This window comes from Homo sapiens, chromosome 9 (genome assembly GCF_000001405.40).
Source record: "Homo sapiens chromosome 9, GRCh38.p14 Primary Assembly".
Classification (NCBI taxonomy): Eukaryota; Metazoa; Chordata; class Mammalia; order Primates; family Hominidae; genus Homo; species Homo sapiens.
This window is the reverse complement of record NC_000009.12, coordinates 18,337,630-18,364,683: the sequence shown is the minus strand read 5'-3', so window position 1 is coordinate 18,364,683 and position 27,054 is coordinate 18,337,630. Positions and strand designations below refer to the sequence as shown.

At 38.2% G+C, this 27,054-nt stretch overlaps 1 protein-coding gene and 1 long non-coding RNA gene across 12 annotated transcripts in view, besides 1 other annotated feature; both read right to left on the bottom strand.

Moving 5' to 3' along the window:
* The window catches only part of LOC107986990 (uncharacterized), a 39,734-nt gene extending 19,507 nt beyond the window's left edge, over positions 1–20,227 (bottom strand). Inside the window, exons 1-2 of the long non-coding RNA XR_001746428.1 lie at positions 12,149–20,227; positions 2,502–3,813 (exon numbers count right to left, since the gene is read on the bottom strand). This is a non-coding gene — a long non-coding RNA (uncharacterized LOC107986990). The remainder of the gene's footprint in view (positions 1–2,501; positions 3,814–12,148) is intronic.
* Positions 1–27,054, bottom strand: part of ADAMTSL1 (ADAMTS like 1) — a 1,004,318-nt gene that overhangs the window by 546,267 nt on the left and 430,997 nt on the right. The gene's annotated exons all lie outside the window — the stretch shown is intronic.
* Positions 507–3,578: an enhancer, noted in NCBI's record as "VISTA enhancer hs2537". NCBI's record gives its function as "enhancer in: neural tube[3/4] | heart[3/4]" and the evidence as "EXISTENCE:transgenic organism evidence [ECO:0001131][PMID:17130149]".

Here is a 27,054-nt window from a genome sequence, read left to right as displayed (position 1 = left end):
TAAATTACCCAGTCACAGGTATTTCTTTATAGCAGTACAAGAATGACCTAATACAGGCATGTTATTCTGTATCTGGTAATTCCAATATTCTGTGAGGGTCTGTTTATATAGGTTATTGTTTTTACTGATTGGACCTCATGAAGGCTTCCACAGGTTTAGTGAGTTTGGTTAAGAACTCGTGTCTCTTGGAGTTTTCTCTGGGAATTCTTTAAGCTAAGGGATTAAACTATATTGTCTGAGAGAGAATTGGGGTTTGCTTCTACCCCTGAGGCATTATCAACATGGACACAATTTAACCAAAATTGTCGCCTGAGTTTTTTAGGGATCCTCAAACCTGTGTTTGAGAATAGCCATCCTATAGAGAATTTTTCTATTCAGAGTCATGGTAAAGACAAGGAAGATTAGGATGTTCCTCTGCCAGGTGGTTTTTCTCACTGAGTGTACTGCTATTTGGTTGAGTGGGAGGTTTTGCAGCCTTATGAAGGAGTCTCCACTCTGACCTCCTACTCATCCATGGCTCTTAGGCACTGTCTCTTGTCCCGGTAATATAAGGCTAGCAGGGCTTGGCAGTGGACTCCAGCTCAGCGTTTCCCTGATAGATTCACTCTTTCTCTTCATTTTTGCCTCTAGGAATTTCTTTTAATTTCCAGCTTAGACTTGCATTAAAAAATGTGATTTGAATTTTTTTTTCAGTATCTTCACGTGTTCTGTGTCTAGGAGGCTTACACCATGTTGCTAGAAACTATGTTCCTTCCTCTATTTCTAGTGGTCTTAATCCTGCTTCTCCTCTATCAAGGGTTTCTAGGAGGCACCTCTGCAGTCTCTTTATCTTGCTTGTTTCATTCTTCACCTCTTCCTCCTTTAATTTCCCTCTCTCATTTGTTCTTGAACCAAAGCAGCTAGGTATTACTTGAGGATGTAACATGTTAGAAAGGAGGAGTTGTCAGCTCTGATTTTCCCCTTCCTCAAGCATTAATCAGAAGGGCTTTGTTATGTATTATTGCCTTTATATATCATGGACTCACCATAAGTACCATAGCAAGATTTAAAAGTTCATCTGTAATACCTACAATTGTGTGCCAAGTTCTATGTTAAGTGGTTTATAAGCATTCTTCACTAAAAATGTAAGGAATTATCTATTCCTATTTTAAGAATGAACAAACCAAACCACAAAAAGTTAAATAATTTAACTTAAGGTCACACAGCTTAGAAGAGGCAAGGCAAAACTGAACATTAATCTGACTTCTAAGCCCAAGTTCTTTCCATGCTGTCTCCCAAAGAATTAATTAAATCCTGTATACGCTTGTCGGCTTATAATAGGCAAATGAGAAATTGGATTGCCTACACAACTGAGTTTATGATTGTTTACTTAGGAGAGACCTCAGAAGAATCACAGTAGCCATGGCCAACAATTTGTGGCAGGATGCCTGATAGGTTAGCTGGTGGGAGTGGTGTGGGTCCCTCAGTCAACACCTCATCTAGACAGAAAGGTACTAACTTTTCCCAGGGAAAGAGAAGGCTAGAGCTGCCACTCCACCAACTGCCTTGGGATATTTCTGGTTCCATCGTCAGTTGCTTTGTCTCCCATAACACTTTTAGGTGTGAAACTGAAAGAGGAAGTTCTGATATCAGCTTCTGCCCTCTTGGCTAGCTTGAGTCCTTTTGTTCTAAATTAGAAAGACAATCTGTTTAATATCCATGCCAGTGTTTTTTGGAATAAGAGTTGAAATGTCAACCTTATGCTTATCTGGGTTATTTTCCTTTGGCTACTTGGTTGGATTTCTTTGCTCTGTTAGAGAAATCAACAGTTTGTTGCTTTCAATTAAGTTTCAATTATTGATAATGCAATCAGCAGAGGCTATTTTAGGTTTTGCCTAACTAACAGCAAACTCTAGTCTCAGTATTCCAGTTAATAACCAGAATACTGGTTAAATTAGACACTGATGAAAGACTCATTCAGAGAAGGAAATCTTGATTTATCAATTAGCACCTCTCACAGACTGGCTTTACCTTGCTACCCAGACCTAGAAAATGCATGACATTTGATGGTGCTTCACGGTCCGATCTCTGATTATGGATTATATGTTTTGGAATCTATACATTTCATCTTATGCAGAGTGAACTGCCAGCAAAATGCCAGCTCCTTAAGAACTAGAACACAAAGCAAGGAACACTCAGCTATTCAATATACTTCTCTCCAAATAATTAAAACAAACCCAAGTTGAATATATGGAATGTAAGAAGAATGGACCATGGAAAGTAAGTTAATTGCTAAAATTTTCATTTCCTGAGTTGGCCTATGTTCAATCAAACAATTATTCTGCATTACTGCAATACTAGACATATGTGATATTTCTAGAGATTCCTAATATATTTGTTCCAACATATTAGGCACTTCATCAGGTCTGAGTTTTTTTTCCAACTACGTTCTAAACTGCTTTTGCATTCTGCTCTATATTCCAGTGTTAGGTGAGAACAAAATTGTATGGATCTTAACTCACCTGTTCCAGTTTTAGCTGGGAGAGAATCTATGTGCCCACTGGTGTCAGAACTGTCATCTTCTGTTTGAATGAAGAACCTTACAGTGAGAAATTTCAAATGGTAAACACAACTAATGTTCAGTACCCACATATTCCTAGATTCTTTGTGCTTGACAACACTTCTACCCCATCCCTTTCCATATGTAACACAACCTTGACCTAAGAGAACTGCTCCCTCTAGGCACAAGAAGTATTTTATGCTCCCCTTCTGTCCCAAACAGAGGGCCTCTACTAAGCAGGGATTGGAAGTTGTGCCAAATTGCACATAATTGTGCGTGATGAATTTGTAATGCAGGCTAAAACTTGCTGGAAACTCAGCTGAGACCACCAAATTCATTTAGTTGGGTTTGGTTGGAGGCCAATCCTTTATTCACTAAGCTACAAAGTCTCCGGAGATTTTTATTTGCTCACAAAAATATCTGAATCCAGCACTAGAGTCTTTCTCTGCATGAAAACTAAATTAGTGTGGTGTTGCTTCTCATAGTTCTGCTCCTTCAAGTACTCTAGGGGATTAAAAGCTGGAAAAAAAGAAGTGGCTTCGGAGTGTAACACAAACAACTCTAGATGCTGAAAATATAATTTCCCTATTGTTTGCTTTAAGGCACAACACATCATTAAGTTCAAAGTCATTTAAATGCAAGAACCTACGATTTCCCCCCAAAGCCTGCAGCCATAAAGACATTTATCACAAAACAACTTCTAATTTCAAAAGGAATCATATAAGTATTAGATTTAATGTTCAATGACAAAACTGTTGTTGAAAATCGAGAATATACCAAGTGAAATACACTAAAAAGAAATACATCAACATTTTAATAGTGGTTATTTTAGGAGTTGAATAATTATAGATGATTCCTCTGTTCTTTTCTTTATTTTCCAAATTTTCTATAATGTGACTTTAATGCTCCTTATAATCGAAAAATACACTTATTGGAAAAGAACCCTAGATACATTACAGATGGTTTTGTTTTTTCTCATGCTATTCACATACTGCTGTAAAATGTAAACCTGTCGACAGTACAACTCATGGAGGCACCCACATTCGGGGGAAAACAATACCATCTTGTATTTTATAAAACTCCTGCATTCCAACGGGCTCAAAACACATTTAACAAGCTTCATTTCATGATTCTAATCACCATTTTTCTGAGATACATTTCTTACCAATTGTTAACTCCTGAGATTTACTCAGATTGAGATTTGTTCATTTATTTGGCGGCAGGGAAAGCAGGAGATGGGAAACTTAAAAATGGTTGTTTTGGAGTCCATTTTTCTGGGGGAAAATGAAAAGTTTAGGATTATGCTCAAGACATCCTAGTCACAGAACACAAGAAGAGAGACCCCTGTCAATGAAATCCATGTATTAATTGGTGGGCACTGGAGTGATTTTTCATGTTAGATGTTAAAATTTCAAAAACATATTCATTAAGTGCAGTGTTTCTCAATAGGAGTGCTACTGACATCTGCCACAGGACAATTCTTTGTCATGTGCAACTGCCCCACTTTGAAGAGTGTTAATGTCTCTGTTCCCATAACCAGTAACAGCCTCCCCTCAGTCACTGGGGAAATAAAAAATCTTTTATTTACAGTTGCCTCTATTTGGTCATCATTCATTTAGGGTATCTCACCTCTTTACCCCAAAGCATGAAGTCGTACCAATGTTAATACCATTTTATGGAAGAGGGCACTGAAGCTCAGAGAGTTCAAAAATCTTGCCCAGAATCTTACACCTAGCAAATGACAGAACCAGAACTGGAGCCCAGTTTTCTGACTTCCTGCAATCCAGTGCACTGAAACCATGACAGGACTCCTAGGTTGTCTGTTTCCCTTCAACATGTTTTTGTGTAGCTCGTAGATCATGTGTCTTCAAGTTACTATTCCTTTATCTTTGCTTTCAATTCAATTCAACTCAATCTGGAGTTAAAGTGATTGAGATAAAGAGACAGAGGCAGCTGCTTGGGGATCAGAGGACAGAGCATAACCTAAGAAAGCTACACCAGACACAGGAACCTTCTGTAAATAGGCAGGACCTAGGAAACCACATCTGACTTCCCCTCACTGTGAGCAACAGCAATAATACAATTACTATATATTGAGCACTAATCAAGTGCCAAGTACTTTGCTAGATGTTTTAATCTCTAATCTGCACAATAATTATGGAGGGTTAACATTATTATTAGTATTATTGCCATAGAGCTGAGGACACTGATGAGGCTCAGAGTGGTTAAATAACTTTTTCAAAGTTACTTAACAAGACTTGAGTCCAAGGTATCAAATGTCAAAGCAGGGGTGGGGCATTTTGTGTGGGCGGGGGGGCGGGTGGGGAGGTGGGGCATTAACCCTGCTGAATGGGGACTTCTAGGGTAATGCCAACACTTTAATAAGGAACACCCTTAGAAAAGTTAAAAATAATATGAATCAGGCTGTATACATATCTTACATGATCAAAATGGGTGAAGGCTTACAAAAGATGGAAAAAGATCTGAAAACACAATCTTGGTGCAGAAGAAAGCAGTCATTTCCTTAATGGGAATTACTGTAATTTTCTACAGCAGACATTCAGAGTCATATCCGAATGGGAAGCTATGAACACTGGCAAGGACCTTGATTCAAATATCTTCCTGGTGAGTAAAGAAACCACCATTAGTAACCATCTTTTGGGTCAAACATTGTCCTCACTTTGTTCTCCTTTAATGTGGAACTACTTCTGGGAAAAGAATCACATTGTTAAACTGTAAGTCCCTGGTGAAAGATTTAATTTGTGTAACCTTTTCTCAAAGATGATTGGTGCCAAACATTCTTAGGACAGCATCGGATTCTGGGGGCAGAAGAATGGAAAAGATGGGGGCAGAAGAATGGAAAAGATGGAGGCTGAAGGGATCCAAAAGGGCCCCGATAGAGGGAAGGGGATATCTTTATACACAAAACTCCTTAATAAGTAAGTGCAGGACCAGAGCTTATTTTGTACTAAAAAAGTCACTTCAGCCCAGCATGTGCATGCATATATGTTTGCCTGTATGTTATATAATTGCATATAATTATTATTGAGTTAACTTTACCTAAATTACTGGATAAGAGCATGGCAGTATATCTGCTTGTAGCATGCATTCTAAAAAGAGAAGAGTGTTCAAACTGTTTGAAGTCACTGAAATTTAAGACACTCCCAACCCCTACCCCACCCTCCATGACTCTGAATGTCTGCTATAGAAAATTACAATAATCGCTACTAGTTAGCATGTGATATTGGGAAGCAAATTCTTAATGGTCCTAATTGAAAATGTAAGTTCACACAAAACCCTGTGCACAAATGTTCATAGCAGCATTATTAATAAGAGCCAAGATAAGGAAATAATCCAAATGTCTATCAAACAATGAATGGAAAAACAAATATGGCATATGCATAAAATAGAACACTATTTAGGCATAAAAAGGAATGCAGTATGGATACATGCAATACCATGGATGAAGCTTTAAAACATTGTGTTAAATTTAAAAAGCCAGACACAAAAGGCCACATATCACATGATTACATTTATATAATATGTCTAGAATGGGCAGACTCATAGAGACAGAAAGTTGATTAGTCATTTCCAGGGGATAAGGGTTGGGGAAGAATTGAGAGTGACTGCTGCTTAATGGGTATGAGATTTCTCTTTGGAATAATGGAAACATTCTGGAATTAGTGGTTATGGTTGCACAACATCGTGAATATCGTAAAATAACTAAATTTTATACTTTAAAATAATGAGTTTTATGTTATATGGATTTTATCTCTATAAAAAAATGCAAAAATGTTCTTAATGGTCTTACTTTTCCCACAAAAGGAAGGAGCAAAGAACAGAAAAATAATTGACTCCAACTATCATTTCCTCCATATAGTTCAATATGTGGGGAAATAGATCTGAAGTTAACTAGCATTCATTAAGCTCTCCCTTATTCCAGGCACTGTTATGTACCTAATATATTTCTCACTTAATTTTCACAACTGTAAGTATATACTGGTATTCTAAATGTGCAGATGAGAAAACTGATTAACTGACTTGACCAAAGTAACATGTCTAAGTCACCGGAACAGCCAGGATTTGAACTATTTAGGTCTATTTGGTCCAAAGCCTAATGCTCTCATTCACTATTCAATACAGCCTCCTTGGAAAATAGGGTGAGAAGGAGCTTTAGACTGAACAACAACAAAGTAAAATATATTCTTTGGAGTCTAATCCATTATGGGGCAGTGGGGGTAGGGATATGCAGAGAGCTGGACAGGGTAGAGAATGTTTCAGGTCTAAAACGATAGCAGTATCATTCTAGCAGAATAATAAATATAGAGATGGAGGCTGCATAATTGTAAATGACAGGTCTTCATTTTCATGTTTTCCAATTCTAGGTTATGGAAAAACAAATGAAATATATATTATACCTTGTAGCTGGCAATACTTAGACTATTGAGCTTTTGGCACTATATTTGACTATACTTAAGAACAAATACATACAACTAAAGAATACAATTCAGATAAAGAAAGAGGAACTAGATTCAGATTCTGAAATATTATCCTTATGCAAACTTGAGATAGTGAAAAAAAAATCTAGCAATGCTTAAGCTAATCTCTGCTTGCAAAATACTCACCAAAGAACCCTAGGAAGCATTTGAAGTATTCCTCTGGTTAAAAAGACTCTGATCTAGAACTCCCTGCCCTCTAGGAATCTATGCCACAGAGGAATTCAATCCTCATCCTTTTTCATGTTCTGCTGAAGTGAAACGGAACATATTAATAGTGCTTCTACCAAAGGGATTACCAATTGTTGGACCTCAACATATATTTAATTAAAGCTCCTAATCAAAATGTTCAGTTTTCTTTTTTTCAACAGGATTATTTTGAGCTAATTGAAAAAAAATACTTTGCTTGGGGTGGCCCTACTTACAATTTTAACCAAGAGCCTCCAGAGGAGGTTTCTGATTAGGGCATATACTCTAGAGTCCTTTCTATTAAAAAGCATTAACTTACACATTTCAGGCATCCAATAACTTTTGCAAATTTGAAAAAAAGATGTCCCAGTATGGCTGATATGTGTGTGTAGGCTTTAGAGATGGGTGGCAGTGACAAATTTGAGGCCTCCCAGCTTTGACAGTATTCTTTAATACGTATTCAAAGGATTCCATGTACACATTACTAAGAAATTGTTATAGGAATCAGCCAGGACAAGTTGTACTAGGAGTGATGGACTTTAAACTCAGCATAGATAGATCTCAGCACAGATGTCTACATGTGTGTGGTATGTGAAAAGTTTTCTGCTTCTTAGAACATGAATTAATGGACAATAGCACTTTCTTTTTCTATGAAGCTAGTCAGCAGTTTGTTCTAAATCTTCATTTACTTAGATTCATTCTTGTTACCATATCTCTCTGATCATGGAGCTTTTCCCTTGCATCCTGACTTTGGTTATATGTCAATTTTATTGATTCATTTTAATACCTTCTAGAAAGTAGTGCAAAATGAAGTAGGAAAGTTGTGTGTGTGTGTGTGTGTGTGTGTGTGTGTGTTTTATTGTGTATTGAGTAGCTGCATAAAATTTTTTAGGCTGCAGATGATAGCCTTTTTTTTTTTTTTTTTTTTTTTTAAAGACAGGGTCTCACTGTGTCCCCCAAGCTGGATACACTAGCACAATCATAGCTCACTGAAGCCTTGAACTTCTAGGTTCAATTGACCTTCCTGCCTTAGCATCCCAAGTAGTGAGGACTATAGGCCTGTGCCACTGGCAGCAAGAGGAGGCAGCCAAATGCTTAGGCAGACAGGGGCGGGTCCCTGGTGAAACCCCACCATCAAGCCAAAAACAGCCCGAAGCCTGAAAGAACAGCCTGCTGGTCCTGGATGAAACCTGCAAGCCAAACTGTGAACTTCTGCTCCCATTTGCCTGCCCTTCCCCTATTCTGGGCCCAGAAAAAGCCCCAGAACTCAGCCACATTGAGGGGATGTTCCTGCCTTTGGGTAGGGAGACACCCCCATGTCCCCCATCCACTGAAAGCTGTTTTAATCACTCAGTAAAACTACCCGCCTTGCTCACTCTTAGATTGTCAGTGCATCTTCATTCTTCTTGGGCACAGGACAAGAACTTGGGAACCACTGCTCAAGTCAGACACAGCCCAGGTGGGCCAAGTGGGTGGGCCATCTCCTGCAGCAGGTAGCACAGCCAAGCAAGGCCCAGGCAGGGCGTCACTGGCTGCAGGTCCCCAGCTTGCAAAGTAACTTAGAAGAAAATCCTGTGCTACCACCATGCCTGGTTAATTAACAGTATATATATTTTGTAGACACAGGGTCTTGTTGTGTTGCCTAGGCTGGCCTCGAACTCCTAGCTTCAAGCAGTCCTCCCACCTTGGCCTCCCAAAGTGCTAGGATTAGAGATGTGAGCCACCATGCCTGGCCAGCATTTTTTAATTTTTTAATTTTTTTAGTAAGAAGCATTACTTGGTGTATTTAGGGAAAGTTAAAGAAACTAAGATTAATCTAAACAACCCTTTTAACATTCCCTTTGGGGAATATTCATGGACTAGTCTGAAACAGAATGGAGTTTTAGATACTATATGTATTTTTATCAATGTCTTTCATTAACACTATAGAAATACATCAAAATGGCTTTAGAAACTTCTCATTTGAAAAGGGCTTATACAATTTTAAGAATCCTTGCTATGGAATGACAACTGAGAGGGATGAAAATATCACCTCCAATCTTTGAGTCAGCTTAATATTCTGCTGATACTCCTAAAATACACATACTTTATATAACAAAAAGCTAAGGCTACATGTAGCCTACTTTAGACTTGTTATAAAAAATTTAAATATATATACTTTATATTACAGCTTTCCACCATTAAAGAATTTCTTCTAGAGTTTGAAGGACCTTCAAATAACTGGTATTGGTTCATTTTATAGTACTGCCTGAGAAAGGGAGAACAGTGATACCATTCTACAAAGAGATGCAGTATCAAAAAGGTGAAACAGCAGGATTCAGGGACCTCCTCAGTGAGGGTCTCCCAGGTGTAGATTCTAAACTAGGGATTTCCAAATCTGCTCTTGCTGGGGCTCCCTGGAACTCAGCATGAAGGACAGAGGGGCAATATTAAGGTGCTTTGTCAATTTTCTTAGTCTGTTTGTTTGTTTGTTTGTTTGTTTATTTATAGAGATGGAGTCTTGCTTTGTCGCCCAGGCTGGAGTGCATTGGCACAATCTTGGCTCACTGCAACCTCTGCTTCCCAGGTCCAAGCAATTATCCTGCCTCGGCTTCCCAAGTACCTGGGACTACAGGCGTGCACCACCATGTCCAGCTAATTTTTCTATTTTTCAGTAGAGATGGGGTTTCACTATACGTTGGCCAGACTGGTCTCAAACTCCTGACCTCAGTTGATCCACCAACTTCAGCCTTCCAAAGTGCTGGGACTACAGGTGTGAGCCACCACGCCTGACCCAGATATTTATTTTTAAGTCATCATAACCACATTAGACACACACCACTCTCCCACCTTTAACCACTGTGTTGCCTACTGTCTGCACTGGCATCAATTTGCACCTTCCAGATTCCTCTTCAAAAGTGAACAGAGGAAGGGATAATGAAATCTTCATTATTACTACATGTCAGTGATCTCATTGTGTCAGGAGAAATGGATTCTCAATTCAAATAAAAAGAAGTGACATCCAACGTAACAGCAAAGTTTATGAATTACACTCCATATGTAGATATCACTCTACTTATGGAATATGGGGTTATATCATTTGTTTAAAAACCTATCTAACAACTTAATCAAATACATGAAAAACAACCAGGGATAGAGATAAAGATGTATGTACAATAATATTTATTTATATTATCAAAACCTTTCAAATATCTAAAAGAATATCAATAAATGACTAGTTAATTAAATTATGGTACATTTATACAAGGGAGCACTATACAACTATTTTAAAAGATAATATAAATATGTATTTACACCAGAGACAGATGTATGGGATATATCACATTATATAAGGAAAGTATGTTGAACATGATCTTATTTTAGCAAAAAAAGAAAATCAAAATTTATAGGTATATATATATATATATATATGTATAGAAAAAAATTCTGGAACTATATACAAGTAATAAAGATGTATACATGTATAGAAAATCTCTGGAAAGATATAAAATGGAAAAAGTTAATACTGGCTTCTATTTCTGTAAGGTTAGATTACGACTTTTAATTTTTCTTTATAATTGACTGAATTTTCAAAGGTTTTCTGCAGTATGTATGTATTACTTTTGTAATCAGAAGACATAATAAGGCTATTTTCATTTTGGAGGAAAAGGAGATTGAATTTTATATGCTCATCCACCCACCCATCCACACAAAGATGGCAACCTCTGGTTTATACCTTATAACTGTGAAAACAGAAGATATGACTATGACTTTCCATTGTGCCCTGGTGGAGCAATATAGAAATTTTATGGGCAACCTTAATAGTACATCTAACCCATAAAATATTGATTCCAAAGTCAGGTAAGTTACAGCTTTATGGGCCTCCTTACTAACTATATTTAACCCATAAAATATTTGAATTCAAAGTCAGATAAATTATAGCTTTATGACCAAGAGCATGTCCATGTTCACCCTAACCTGTGCTTTCATGGATTATGCCAAAAAATCCTTTTAGCCTCCATAAATATTATGGATGTCCACGAATTTATCTCAAAAGTATGTAAAGTTATTGATCCAGTTCATGTGGGAATAAATTCTTCAGTAAGTTGTGCTAGAACTAGACACTTGAGTCCAGGTTTAAGGTTGATTTTACTTTAGTTTAAATGAGTTAAGTTTATACTCAAAACCCTGTCTAGTGCATAGTAAGTGCTATGAAGGTATTAACCACTTTACCACTGCTGCTACTACTGTTTTCAACACAGTGATGAAGAAGCACTACAAATAATATCCAGGAGATAAGAATATAAATGAACTGAGTTCCTCAGGGCCTCCCTTGTGCCCTGATACAAGCAAGCCTGACATTGAAGTCAAGCACAGCCATGCATAGTAATCACTATAACAGAGGAACCCAGAATGGGGGACTTAATGCTTTAGGAGCGCTCAGTGGGCATATCATGCTAACACTCAAGGGTCTGTGCCTCTGCCATCCAAGAAATCTCTACCTTGTCACAGTGTGTTTCTCACTGTATTAAGGGCCTCTAATGGGGTTAGTCATGGACTACCAAATACATGTTATTTGCTTATGTAAGTTAAATATTTCTAGGAGGATTCCTAAGAAACAAGATATCTAACAGACTTTGCATCTTGCCAGGGACGCTGACTGATTGAGAAATAGGGTAAAAACGTATTTTTCCTGCATAACCTTTTATGACTTCTAATTTTTGTACCCTGTGTATTTATTGCCTAATAAAAAATAAAATAAAATCATCTGATGGTTTTCTGTAGGGAATAAATCAAAATGGAATCACATGGCGTACATTTTTAGATATGGGTGGAAAATAGAGTAATACGTTAATAAAGTACAAAGGCAAAGGGACATGAACACATACACATACAATTATCATTAACACTGGGATAGAAAGGAAATTTAAATGTAATCCCTGACCTGAAGAAGCTGGCTGTCCAGAGAGAAGACATGCACTGGGACAGTTACATACAGAACAAGGCCTAGAATAGGACACTAGGTCAGCTGAATTGAGGAATTATTTGACTTGGCACATGTTCTCAGGATACTGATCTGTAGGATGGGTAGAAGGAAGATTTAGAACAACATCCTTATCCAAAGACTACTTACAAATCATTTCCAAATCTTACAGTATCTGCCTTTCGAGCCATTTCCCCCATATATAGTAACACCTGAAATCCTGTACAATTCACTGTTTGTTTCCTTTTCCAAACACTTCTTACAATGTTAAGAGATTTCTCATTAGCATCAGTATCTATAGTATATGCTATTTGTTTTCCATTTGAAGATGCACTAAGGATAACACTATAGAAGCTACAGCTGTGTATTTTAAAATAAGAACAAAGAATACATCTATTTTATATATTTTGAACTTAAGATACTAAAAAAAAAAGTTTGTTAAACCCTAGCCACTACATAGCTACTAGGACAAGAAATCCCATCTATTATTTCTCATGACTCTAAAAGAAGCTACAAATTACGGAGTGATTGACTGTAATTAAACAACTAGGTCATCACTGATATTTGAAACCACTGTCTATACCCCCTAACTACCAAGTGAAGTATAAAAGAATATTTACAGAAATGTATTTCTTTAAAAGGTCTCTCTAATTTTGTGGTGATAAAGCTACTCTATACCACATTGGTTGCTTCAAAGAATGTGGTTTCAGGAAGACCAGCACATGTATTTTTAAAGGGCAATAAATAGAGAAAATATTCCTAATTAGAAGATTTGACTGAGCCACAGGTTAAGAGGGTCTTACATGGTGTACCCATTGCAAGAGCAGATATTAGAAGGTCAAGTTTAAGCTTTCTGGGAGGTCTGTCCTGTTTTAGCCAGAGTTCTTTCCCCTGTTGGCCTAAACTTACTAAGTATTTATATTTTTAAAGAATTATGTGCAATCAAATGCCAACACTCTCTCGACCCTCCTTGGGAAATAGGCATTATTACATGCACCTTCTCTCATCACATTTCCCAATACTCTCAGAATTAAACACCAAAGATTAAAAAAAAAAGGGGGTTTTATTTATGTGTTCCTCATCTGGTCAAAGATATGACTAATCATGCCTTGCAAGTAAATCATTAAAACTTTGAGAAAACTATCACCATGCAGCTTAAACACCTTTGGCAAATTGTTTTTAAAAAAAGAAGTTTGGACCACACACAAGTTTTTCTTTTTCTTTTTTTTTTCTTTTTTTTTTTGGTCTTTCATCTTAAAAGTTATTTTTCTCTCCTCCCAAGGAACCTGACCTGCTTTAAATCTTCCCCTGCCAGATGATGTAGTGTCTTGCGTCACCTTATTAATCTAGATGCAAGGCATTCATTTCAAACTAGAAAACCCATGTTTAGGCAGGCAGATTATTATTTAATGTCTCTTTACAATTTTAGTTATTTCATTGTAACGAGGTTACAAATAGCTAAGTCTCATCCCATTTATGTGAGATGCAATTCGTTTTCTCCATAGCTAAAAGCTCCATATAAGAAATTTAATTTCATATATACATCTATATGATGCTTTGCCAAATCTCCTCAGACAAAATTCTATGAAGTTCTTGCCACCTTTTCTCCTAATAGAAAAATTTGAGAATATCATAGTCTGTATTTTGCCTTGAGACTAGTAAAGTTTTCCTGCCAATTCCATAAAACTGTGAGGTGGAAAACTGTTCTTTCCAATTCACCCCTGTCTCTAATAACATGAGGTCTCTGTCTGGCCAAAGTAAAAATGTATACCCTCTTCAGGTGAAGGAAAAGTGGAAATTCCAGAATTTGCCATTTTGTGATGATTTCCAGTGTGAAATAATTAACGCCAAAAGAAACTCTCCAGAACTTGCTTTATTCCTACAGATCTTTGTGTGGAGTCAAGAACACCCCCTACCTTTCTGTTCTGACAATTTCCTTGTATTTCTAGACTTGAACTTCTGGGTTTTCACAGAAAAAAAAAGTTTTCTCCTTGCTCCTTTCCCTTCTCAATATGCAGCCAATTCACCTTCACAATTATCTCAAACTTGGGGTACAGGCTAGAAGGGAAGGACCGGCTTCACATTTCGACATGGCATCTTGCAACTTCCTGATTTTTTACATTGGGCCCAAATTCCTCAAGGTATATGACCTCTTTTTCCCCCCTGCCCTTAGCAGCAGCAGTTCCTTCTACATTCAGACCTCTCTTCAGGCACCTGAAAGAATAAAGCCATTGTTCCGAGGTGCACAGCCTGGCTCCCACTGCATGAGTCTGGCCCAGAGCAGTGGCATGAAGAGTATTTTGTGGTTCTTACACACCTGGGGACCAGGTGGGGATGTATCAAAACAAACCAGGAGAGAGGAGTGTGTGCTGGGCCATTTGCCACATTAGTTAAACCCCTTTTCAGATCTGCTCCCCATTCTCTAGCTCTTTGAGAGTATTTTTCCATTTCTGGCTGTGCTCAGGCCCGGGTTACTGCAGGCCAACAACACATTGTGCTTTTTTGTGTATCTTTGTCTTTGGAGGTCTAACCTCAAAGAAAAATACTAGGTTGGTGCAAAAGTAATGGCTGTTTTTGCCATTACTTTTGCACCAACCTAATAGAAAGCATCTCTCAAACTAACAGACGTGTGCTTCCAAAAGCTAAATGCTCTGAAAAGCTTGTGGGGTAGAAATTATCTCCTTTAAGTCAACCCTTGAGAGGATCATTGTCTGCAGTCCAGTCTTGTGTTTAGGGCTTGTGCCTCAGGCAGGCTGACCCAGGAATGACTGCATTTTGCCTTGAATAGATTCCAGCCCGATGGAAATGGGTAAATGTGTTACTAGGTGTAATTTTCTAAAGCTGGTAGAGGATTCAGGGAAACTAGAAAAGGATACCAAATATTTTCCACTAAGGCAGGGACCCTCTCTGGGGCCGTTTTATATGCCACACAATTGCATTACACCTTTTAAAATCCTCCCAATAATATCTTGAGGTTTATCATATTCTTTTAATAAAATAGATAACCAAAGCCCAACAAGTGTGAGGACACAAGTTTGGTCTTCTAGAAAGACACAGAGGCAGCATTTGAAAACAGAGCTTCTGACACCTGAAAAGAGGGCATCTGACACCTGAACTTCCTTAAGAGCTACACAGCTACCTACGTGTTCTGGGGAGTCATTTAAAGGCAGCCATAAAGTTGTGATGACCAACATGTGGCTATCTGAATTTACTGTTCTTTGCAACATGCCCTCATTGTTTTCCAAGTTCACCCATGTATATGAGAGCGATAACAATCCACATAAGTCTCATTTTCTCCTCATTTTCAAATATTCAAGTGCCTCATCTTCTTCCCATTTTCAAATATTCAAATGCAGTCAGTGTGATGGTTAAGAGCACTGACTCCAAGGACGGATTTCCTGAATCCAAACCATGTTTCTGCCACTAGTAAAATGTATGACTTTGGACAAATTATTTAAATTGCCTGTGTTTAACTTTCTCCAACTTTGAAAAATAGGTACAATAGTAGTACTTGCCTTCATGGTCAACATGAGGATTAAATGAGATAATATATGTAAATACTTAGTAAAATGACTGGCAATACACGTTCAATAAATGGTAGTTGTTATTTTATGTAGGAGTTATGTTTTATATCACTGTAATAATACACATTTTATATCACTATAAAATCATTATTTTATGGCAGTTAAATTAAAAATAGCCTTATACATTGAACCTACTTTGAGGTTCAATGGAAAGAAAGTAAAGATCTGGATTCTCACCATAGCTCTGGCCAAATTTGTGACTTACGGGCCACGTGGTCCCAGGTGAAGCATCTGACAACTCTATTTCACTTACTTCATGTGTAAAAAGGAAGTCTGCAGTTGGTCCTGATACTACTTCCAGATCTTTCCAAATATATGCAATTTAACATGTCTATGAGTTATAGAATGAATGGAATAATTCTAGAGAATTTTAGAATCTACTCATTACGTAGCAAGTGTTATACTTCGTATTCATTTGCTCACTTACATGTCACAAAAACATTCCCATTTTATAGATGACACTAGTGAGGTTTAGAGAAATTAAGCAACTTGTCCAAAATCCAAAATTCATCCTAAACACCTAACTTAAAACAAAGCAGTGCTTGAAATGAAAAGCAGCAGTAGTGGAAGTGATGGAAGATGTGTGCAAATGTGGCTGATTCTGTGTGCTGGCCCTAACCCGTGACTCTCCCTCCATCTGTTCAGCTAGGGACCCATTAATAAATTCAGTAACAATGGTCTTTGTTTTAACCATCCAAGTTAACTAAAAGTTCATTATAAACAGAAAATACTAAATCAATTTCCTATTAGCAACAATGGCTATTTTCACTGCTAAAAAGATTAGTAAGTGTGAGAAGCTAAATTTAAATCTACAATTGGCGAGAGATTAAACTAATTCGGGTCTATTTTGGAAGGAAGCTTTTAAAAGACCAGAACTCAACTTTTCAAGTTAACAGGATTCAAGCTTTCAATGCTTTCCTTTCTTCTTCCCTTTAACCAAATTCAACTTTGTAGTTTTCATCTTGTTTTTGGAATCTTTCCAGGTCACCTCTGTTAAGAAACACAAGGCCCTTGGCACTGAACTTTTGGGAATGTGCCCACATCTGCCTCTGAATGTCTGCCTGCCTACCTTTGATGCCGCATTCAACACCTAACTTAAAACAAAGCAGTGCTTGAAACAAAAATCTCCTTAGAGCACAATGGTGGACCCATTGCTCACCAGTCAGTAGCCTCAGTGATAAATGGCATGAGCAAAAAGGCCTGAAAACCCCAAATAGTTCAATATTCTAGGACATGCCCAACTGATTTTCATTTGGGAGAGGAAAAGGAGCAGTGCTTCATTATAGGGAAAGAAAGGAATAAATGATGATGACAGCTGTGCTGATTCATTGTTTTTTTAAATAATTCTGAAACATTCTAACTATGTTGGTGTCACATAGATCCCTCCCAGAGCTGAAGAGGTTTTGCTCCTATGTGTATATGTACTTTTATTTATAATAAGGTTTTCATTTTGACATGATACTCCAATTTAAAAATGCAGAATTCTTCTTCACTTCAGTTCCTTAGAATTGAATATGTCATTCATCATCTTGGTGGTCCCAGTAAAATGCCCTGGAATTCTCATCCCAGTTTTCAATAGTTACGTATTAATCCATATGGTAACAATATTACCACAACCAAATTCCTGCTACCAGAGACATCAGATTGTTCAGCTTCAGCCCCAGGAATATTTTTTTGTCTCTAAGAAGTAAATTTCAATCTGTAAATTATTGGAAGAGGATAAATATAAGCTAAAGCAATATCATTTATTGCCCTACAAGTGGGGTGACCATTCACATAAGGAGGAAAAGAAGAGATTAAGGCACATTTCTCTTTCAAACAAGATGAGCCTCTGCAAAGCTTGGAGGAATTGAGTCAAAAAACCACTGTGACTGAAAAGCAGGCAGCTGTAGCAGAGCTCTGTGTATTTGTCTCTTAACAATAGCTTTATTAATCTCGGAATCTGAAGATGTCTGAGGCAAAGAGTTGCTTCTACTGGAAAATGAATGGAAGGAGGAGAATGTGCTGGGGCCTTCCATTGTCTGACAGATCATCTCCTGTTTTGGGATCTGCCCATGTGAGATTGAGCCTTTCGAGTTCAGAAGAGGCAGGGTGTGGTGGTAGTTAAAAACACTGTAAGGAATCAGGTGGCCTCAGTTCTTCCTCTGTTTTCTTGTTAATTAGCGGGTGACTTCAAAAACGTCTAAAGATTTCTGGACTTCAGTTTCCTCATTCAAAAAGGAAAGAATCCAACTAGCCAAAATCGAAGGCCACTTTTACTTCTAAAGTTTCAACTGTGTGCAATGTAGTCAAGCAGGACTTTCTATACTCCTGGGGGAGTAACAGTAGCTATCATTTCCTAAACGCTTTTCTGTTCCAGGCACAGTGCTAGGGTTTTCTTCATATGGATGTTCAACCTCCTGGATGACTCTCCAAGGTAGATTTGATTCCTACTTTACAGATGAGAAAACCCTTACTTGCTTAGAGTCACTCAGCTAGTATGTGGGAAACCTGAAGTGCAAACCCAGACTGCCCAGCTCCAAAAGCTCGAGCTCTTTTGCTACCATACAGTGGGTACCATCCAACCCTGCTCTGAGAAAGGCACTGATAAGACTGATAATAGTGACGCTGAACTAGCTGGATGCCCAAGAGGCTGGCTATATGCAGTGTCTAGGAACATTAATAGGCAAAAGTGATGACAAATTCCTACAAAGTGGGGGTAACACTAGGATTACCTCATCGTCTCATCATTGTAGGGATTCATGTTTGTAAAGTACTAAGATCAATGTGTTTGTTAAATTTAAACAAATAAATAAAAACCTGAGGAAACAGAAGGCTAATGGATGTGTAGCATACAGGGTCAGGGATAAGGTACAGATTGGAGATGATTAGAAGTGGGTTGATCCAGGAACAGAGCAGGACCAGAGAGTCACAAAAGGAGCAACATGAGAGGGCCAGGACCACTGCTACAGAGTGGGCTGCAGTCCCTGACTTGTTTGTTTACAGGGCCTGCAGTCCTTGAGTGGATCTCCATGTTCAATTCCTCATCATTGATTTGGGGTATCACCTGTCACATGGTCTTCTGGATGCTAAGGGGCCAATTCTGCAGCTCAGGGTTCTGTGTTGTGCCAATGGCATGTGAGCTATGGAACCCCATGGTGGCTGCTACAGAAGCAGCTCCTCTCACCTCTGAGATGCATGTTCATTCCCTTTCCCATCTGCCCTGAGGATATTCTCCAGTGGTGCTTGCCGCTGCAGTGTTTACCCTAAGATAACTTTGCCACAAAATATCTTAATTTTATTATTATTTTTGCATCACTCTAGTGTATCGACTTTGGAACAAAAGACATCATACTCTTTATAGCATTCTGTTTTTAGTAGTGGTATCTCCGTTTATAAAATATAGTAATTCTCGATCACTGAAAATGTCAAATCCTAGAAAACATAGCATTCCTACACGTGATGTTAACATCATTCTCGAAGAGTTATTGGCCAAAGATTCATTTGATAAATTCAATTTTTTCTGAAATAGAGGATTCTGATGATTCGGATGTTTCTGATGTTAGTTCTTCTTAGAAACAACTCTAAGAACAGTTTTTAGATTTTATTTTCACATTGAAAATGAGTTAGATTTGCTTCAGCCTCAAATACTGTGTTTATGTACAATTAAATGAGCATTGGCAGTGAGCTGCACTTTTTTTTTTCTAAACAGGAAAAGGGTTAACTTGTATATTCCTTTATTTAGGCCGTGGCCAATATGTTGTCTGACTTATGGATATGCTTGACAGACACTTAGATCCTGTAGGGAACTGGAAGTCAGAGTGAAAGTGAATGTGAGGAAAGTATAACACTGTCTCTGGATGATCAGACCAAATCTCCAGGGACAGGAGAAGGAGGTCAGAGTCACCTGGCCACTCTCATGTTTGTCGGAAGCCAGGACCATGCCTTTGAGCTTAGTGGAGGGATATCCACAGGGCTGTCAAAAGAGGGCCTCCCGAGGGGAGCTCTGCTTAAATAGCTCCACTGGGATGAGGAAAGAGCTTCCAAGGTCCCCTGCTGGGCTTCCTTCAGAACCCCATGGGTTCTGAACTCAAATCAAGTCTTGAATGTTAGTTTTCAAGCATGTGGTGTGTTTAGACTTGGCGCCTGTTGCTACTGATGTTTCCACCTCCACCCCACAGTTGTTCATTTTCCCAGCCCTGTAGCTCCACTTCTGTCTGCCCCAGGATTTTGCTTTGCTGCTCCTGTATCAATGTTAATGGCCAAAGGGAACACTAGGATTCAACAACCGCCAATTCATTGTCACTGTACACACTTGGGATTGGACTTCTCCATACGGAATGCTAAAATTTATTCTATCATTACCATCAACAAGAGCCTATTTGTGAATCTCACATGTGTATTGTGCACTTAAAGGTTTCCAAATTTAAAAGATACATATAGATATGGTGCAGAATATGTCATTAAAAATAATTAAGGCCAGGTGCCCCTAATGAAAAAACAAAAAACAGTGCTTTGGAACGCAGAGGCAGAAGGATCTCTTGAGGCCAGGAGTTTGAGACCAGCCTGGACAACATAACGAGATCCCATCTCTATAAAAATAAATTTTGTTAATTAAAAAAAATTAAAATGTTATTAAACAGCAAAAGGAAAAGGTTACTCCTTTGAGAATCTGAAGAGTTTTTTATGAGAAGGATATAGAAAATAAATGAAAAAAATCATTAGAGCCTAAGGAATTTTAGTTAAACAAAAGAACTTCAGTATTCGGGTGAACCAAACCCTAAATTTTGGTAATTAAAACATTTTTTACACTCATGACAAAGAAAGTGAGACCTGGACTGCATAGACAGCCTTTAGGACTGTTATCTAATGGTTTTTTTGAAAAAGATGAAGTAATTCTGGGGAAAAGTTGATGATTCAGTACTTTGTACTAAAGATGAAGAAATCACATGGGATTGTAGCAAGAGACATTCTCCTGGGCCTCAGGAGAGATTTGCATAGGCGGAATCATAAACTCTGCTTCCTGGGGAAGCATGCTTATCACATTTTTCAGACATAAAGCTGTTTTGATAATAGGTTGAGCATGGAGTACCTGCTGTAGAATCAAGGATTCAATAAATGGAATTCTTTAAGCACAAATGCCCAGGGACCCTAAGCCAGATCAATGCATCACAGTTTATTACATCCTCTAAGACAAATTCTAAGAAGCTTAAGGAGCTCAGATGGTGCAACCTAGTCAGTACTGTACAAAGCTCTGAAATAAGTTTTCATCTCCTCATTCTTTATCCAAACCGTTTACTTGTGGCATAGACATGAGAGAAGGTAAAAATCTAAAAGAGGGTTTAGAATTAAGAACTATTTTAGTTCAATTGCACTGACTACCAATGACACAAATATATTCCCTAGGAGTAATCAATCAGGATTATATATTCTCTTGGTTTACCAAGGAAGGTTGATTTTAAGCCAAACTGGCTCCTGCTGGACTTGTGCTTGTAACTGATACTCACTTCATTGATCACTGGTGGGGTCCAGATCATGGAGCAGAAAACCTCATTTTTAGATATTAGTATGCAAACAAGGGAGAGAGAGAGGGTGAAAAGGAAAGCACAGAAGTAGAGACTTAGGATGAGGTTTGAAAAATGAAAGGGGAAGAAACATGCTTTAAAAAATGCATATGGGGGGAGCTTTCCTAAAAGAGAAAGAAAATCCTTAAGACCTACAAAACTAACCACTCAGTTGATGTATATGTTAAGGAAAAACTTTTATTTCCTATAGAGACAAGATCTCACTATGTTGCCATGGTTGGTCTAAAACTCCTGGCCTCAAGCAATCCTCCTGCTTCAGCCTCCCAAAGTGCTGAGACTGCAGGTGTGAGTTACTAACCTTGGCAAAAAAAAAACAAAACAAAAAAACCCACATTTTTTAAAGATAATGAAAAATGGGTGCAGTCTAGTGAGAATTATGCTCATTTCCATTAAACTGAAGTGTATCTTGTCATCCGAGCACCAGCAGCTATATTACAGGAAGTACCGACATGCTAGGGTTTGTTGGCAGAGAGAAATTGAGAGATCAGAAGTTTCAGATGAAATCTTTCTTGAGTCCAGTTTCTTTTAAATTCAGAACACAGAGAGGTAATCCTTGAGAAGATGTTAAATATTATAACTTAAAGCAAATGAAGACTCAGAAATAAACAACCAGTACAGATTTTCAAAGGTCTCAGCTTTTCTAAATATGCACAACCACATCGGGAAGAGGAACGTTGGGCAGCACTAGCCATGATGGCCACCTCCTCATCCCTAAAATGTCTCACTAAACCATCATCTAATCTGTTAGAAGCCAAAAGGTAAAGATTAAACACTTAAAACATATACATACGTTTAATAAGTAAAAAGTGATATTTTCTAATATAATTCTCTAACTTAGAGAGATGTAACTAAAATGAGACAAGCTATGAGACAACTTTCCTAAACGAGTGGACCCTCCTCTTAGTCCTTTTGCCATGCTACTCTCTTTGCCATTTGTGTAGCCCAAATGCTTCTTACCACTTGAGATGATACTTGAGAATAGTGTCTGAAACTTACTAACCAACATAAAAGCCATGAGATAAAAGTTAAAGTCAATGACCTATATACTGTCTAAATATTTTTTAAAACAATTACTCAAAGGAAGATCCAGGAAAAGAAAAAGCCTATTTTTCCCAAGTTGTAATCAGCTTGCAATTTCACTGGGCCTGAGCCATATCTTTTCTACGAATCAGGGACTAGCCCCACGTATAGACACTGGGAGAAGAAAAATTTCATAGAAAAGAAGAACTGGGAGTAAGATCGGGCTTGAGGCAGCAAGTGGGAAAAAATGGCAGCATGATATTTTACCTAATTCATTATTTGGTCATATAATAAATCCTCCATACAAAAAGTATTCAGTACAGACAGAATACGGCATCATATGGTATATTATGCCCAATAAATGTTAACCAAACCAAAGTGGACATCAACCAAGCATACATTTACCTTAACCCTTAAAGCCTATAGATGTTGTTTTTCATTGAACATAATACTTTGGTTTAATGCACACTTGGTTCAGTTCTCTCCCATTACCTGCCTCTGGCATATCTTATTTTATGTCTACATAAGCAATGGGTAAACATTTATCCATTAAGGCCTATTAGATCAAAGAGGGAAGTTATATAAAACTATAATGAATTTAGGGTTATTTTGTGTGGTGATAGATGACAAGTTTTACTGACTTAATTTCTAAAATGAGAGAAAATAAAAAATATTCAGTTTATGCTATTCAACTAAATACTTATTAAATACTTATAAATTATGTATCCAAGCACAGTGCCAGCAATTATAATACAGTGCAATAAGTGCCATCATATAGGAAGTCAAAAGGGCTATGGAGGACATTTATTCTGGAGGACATTTATTTATGGAGGACATTTATTCTGGATGTGGAAGGCCAGAAAATGCTCTCCAAAATGAAAGTCATTTGGAAACTGGAACTTAAAAGATGAATGCAAGTTAGGAAGATAAAGAAGTAATGCAAGTTAGGAAGATAAAGGGTATAATGAAGAATGTTGGATAGGCAAAGGGAACAGCATAACAAAAGCCCAGACAAAAGAAACAGCATGAAACTTTCAGAGATGAAAAATTTTTCATTAAGACTGGACCAGAGAGCCTGAAAGAGGAGTATAGAGAATAAAACTGAGAAGATGAGCAGAGACCAGCTTGTGAGGAGCCTTGCAAATCATGTAGGAGTCTGGGTTTAATCCAGAGGACAACTTGAAGTTGCTAAGATGTTTGAAATAGGGACTAGAATGATCAATTTTGTGTTCCTGACAGATCAGCCAGGCTGCGATGCTGAAACAAACCCTAAGAACAGCAGAGTGGTTGGGAAACTGTAGTCATCACCCACTTGAGAGTTGGTGGGGGTCTGGTCTAGGCTAATGGTCTAGGCTAATGACAGTAGTGACAGTGGGGATGAAGAAAAAAATAAACAGATTTTAGAGACAGGTAAGTAGACTGTATTAGTCTGTTCTCATGCTGCTAATAAACACATACCTGAGACTGGGTAATTTATAAAGGAAAGAGGTTTAATGGACTCACAGTTTCACATGGCTGGGGAGGACTCACAATCATGGTGGAAGACAAATGTGGAGCAAAGGCACATCTTACATGGCAGCAGGCAAGAGAGAGCATGTGCAGGGGAACTCCCCTTTATATAAAAGCATCAGATCTCATGAGACTTATTCACTATCACAAGAATAGCATGGGAAAAACCCATCCCCATGATTCAATTACCTCCCACCTGGTCCCTCCCACAACACATGGAGATTACTACAATTAAAGGTGAGAGTTGGGTAGGGAGACAGAGACAAAACATATCATAGACTTAATAGAGCTTGGTGATTACTTGAGTCACAGGAAACAAAGGAAGAGAGAATTTAAAAATGTAAGAGAAGATTATGAGCTCAGTTTGGGATGTATTGTGTTTGCAGTATATGCAGAACTGGGAGATATTAAGAGTTGGATATACATTTGGATTTGTAATTCAAGATACATATCTGGGTTACAGATATGAATTCAAGAATAGTAAGTACATAGATGATAATTAAAGTCTTGATAATACTGACCAAGAGAAAAACTATACAGTGAGAAGAGTAAGCAGCATAAGACAGAATCTGAGAAATTCTTGTATTCCAGAATGGGTGAAGAAAAAGATACCTGCCAACAAGATAGAAAGAAACAACCAGACAGAATAAAGCTAAAGAATAGGTGGTGTTGGGGAAGCCCCAGATTTCCCATTTGTTTCTCTTTCCTCCAAAGACATCAATAGATTTTAAGAAGAAAGTGATCAGCACTGTGAAAAGAAGAGGAGTAACATCAGATGTGAAGTGGCCACCAGACATATCAACAGGAAGGGCACTGCTGACCTTGCTGTGAGAATTTTAGTAATGCGGGAAGGGGAAAATCCAGTTTGCAAAGGATCAATGGTTGATAGGAGGTGAAGACAACTCTTTGAAGATACCTGAATATGGAAGAGAGAGATGGGGCAGAAAATGAGAATGAGAGGTGGATGGATGGAGAATGGTTTTTCTTTAAACAATGAGACAATCTTGAAGACATTTAAATGCTGGTAGGAAGGAGCCAGCAGATACTAGAGTTTGGAGGTAGAAGAAAAGGGGATAATCAGACCTGAAGCAGTGGCTCAGACCTGTTATCCCAACACTTTGGGATGCTGAGGCAGAAGGATCATAAGACTGACCTGGGCAACAAAGTGAGATCCCATCTGTAAAAAAAGTTAAAAAATATTCATTTGGGTATGTACCCAAAAATGGGATTGCTGTGACAAATGGTAATTTTGTTTTAAATTCTTTGAGAAATTGCCAAACTGCTTTCCACAATGGCTGAACTAATTTACATTCCCACCAACAATGTATAAGCGTTCCCTTTGTTCCACAACCTCACCACCATCTGTTATTTTTTTACTTTTTAATAGTAGCCATTCTGATTAGTGTGAGATGGTATCTCACTGTGGTTTTGATTTGCATTTCTGTAGTGATTAGTGATGTTAAGCAGTTTTTCATATGCTTGTTGACCACATATATGTCATCTTTTGAAAAGTGTCTGTTCATGTCCTTTGCCTACTTTTTAATGGGGTTGTTTTTTGCTTGTAAATTTGTTTAAGTTCCTTATAGCGTCTGGATATTAGATCTTTGTTGGATACATAGTTTGCAAATATTTTTTCCCATTCTGTAGGTTGTCTGTTTACTCTGTTATAGCTTATTTTGCTGTGCAGAAGCTCTTTAGTTTAAATATGTTTCTGACATAAAGACACGTGCATGAGTATGTTCACTGCAGCACTATTCACTATAGCAAAGACATGGAATTAACCTAAATGCCCATCAATGATAGACTGGATTTTTAAAAGGTGGTACGTATAGACAATGGAATCCTATGTAGCCATAAAAAGACAGAGATCATGTCCTTTGCAGCAACATGGTTGGATCTGGAGGCCATATCTTAAGCAAACTAACACAGGAACAGAAAACCAAATACCACATACTCTCACTTATAAGTGGGAGCTAAACTTTGAGTACATATGGACACAAAGAAGGGAACAACAGACAGTGAGGCCTACTTGAAGGTGGAGGGTGGGAGGAGGGAGGGTATTCAAAAACTACCTATCAGGTACTATGTTTATTACCTTGGTGACAAAATAATCTGTACATCAAGCTCCTGCAGCATGCATTTACTGATGTAACAAACCTGCACATGTACCCCTGAACCTAAAAGAAGAGCTGTAAAAAATGAAAAATAAGCTGGGCAAGGTGGCATACCCCTGTAGTTCCAGCTACTCAGGAGACTGAGGTAGGAGGATCGCTTGAGCCCAGGAGTTCAAGGCTGCAGTGAGCAATGATTATGCCACCACACTCTAACCTGGGGACAGGGTGAGAACTTGTCTCAAAAAAACAAAAGCCAAAAACAGAAAAGGGGATAATCAGTTACATAAGGTGTGAGGACTCTGAGCAGGCAGGAAGGGTAGGAACCTGAATGGAAATAGAAAACCAGACACTAATAGGAAGGAAGCCCACTGAGGTAGGAAAGGGGCCGAAGGTGGATGCTCATGTGGGAAATTCATCTGTTGGTGGTAGGAGACCAAGGGAATTCCAGGCTGATGACTCTTTTCTCCATGCTGAGAGTGCGGTGGAAAAGTTAAGGGTCAGTGGCTTGAAGACATCATTTAAAAAACAGTTCACTATGGAACCCAGGAAGAGCAAGCAAACTACGGAAAACAGAATGCTGAAAGTAGCTCTGAGGGCCCGGTTGAGGTAGTAGACCATGTATTCACAGTGAAAGTAATCAACAAAGTTGTATGGTTTTTCTCCATTGATCCTCAGGATCCTAAATAATCTTTCTCCCTGTACCCCTTCATCTTTTGCCCCACTCCTGTAACCAAGCCGGGCTTGACCACCCCCACGCCAATCACAGCTGCAGAACCTAGCCCAGGTGGAGCCCAGAATTCCCATTTGGCAGGGAGAAAGTTTGGCTGATTTCCAAAGTTCGATAATATATTCAGTACTTCTACCACTCTTCAGTATTGTGTCTCCAGATGTCTCTCTTTGAAGATACAATCACAGTGGATAACCCAGAAGGAATTTATTTTCTCCATGAACTACAGCACCAGTGATGATCAACATACAAAAACTTGTTCATTAATTACATTTAGCCTATGAGGTGAAGAGTTTAAACCTTAGCTCATAGTGTAGTAGTTAACAGTAAAGCAGACTCTAGAACTTGT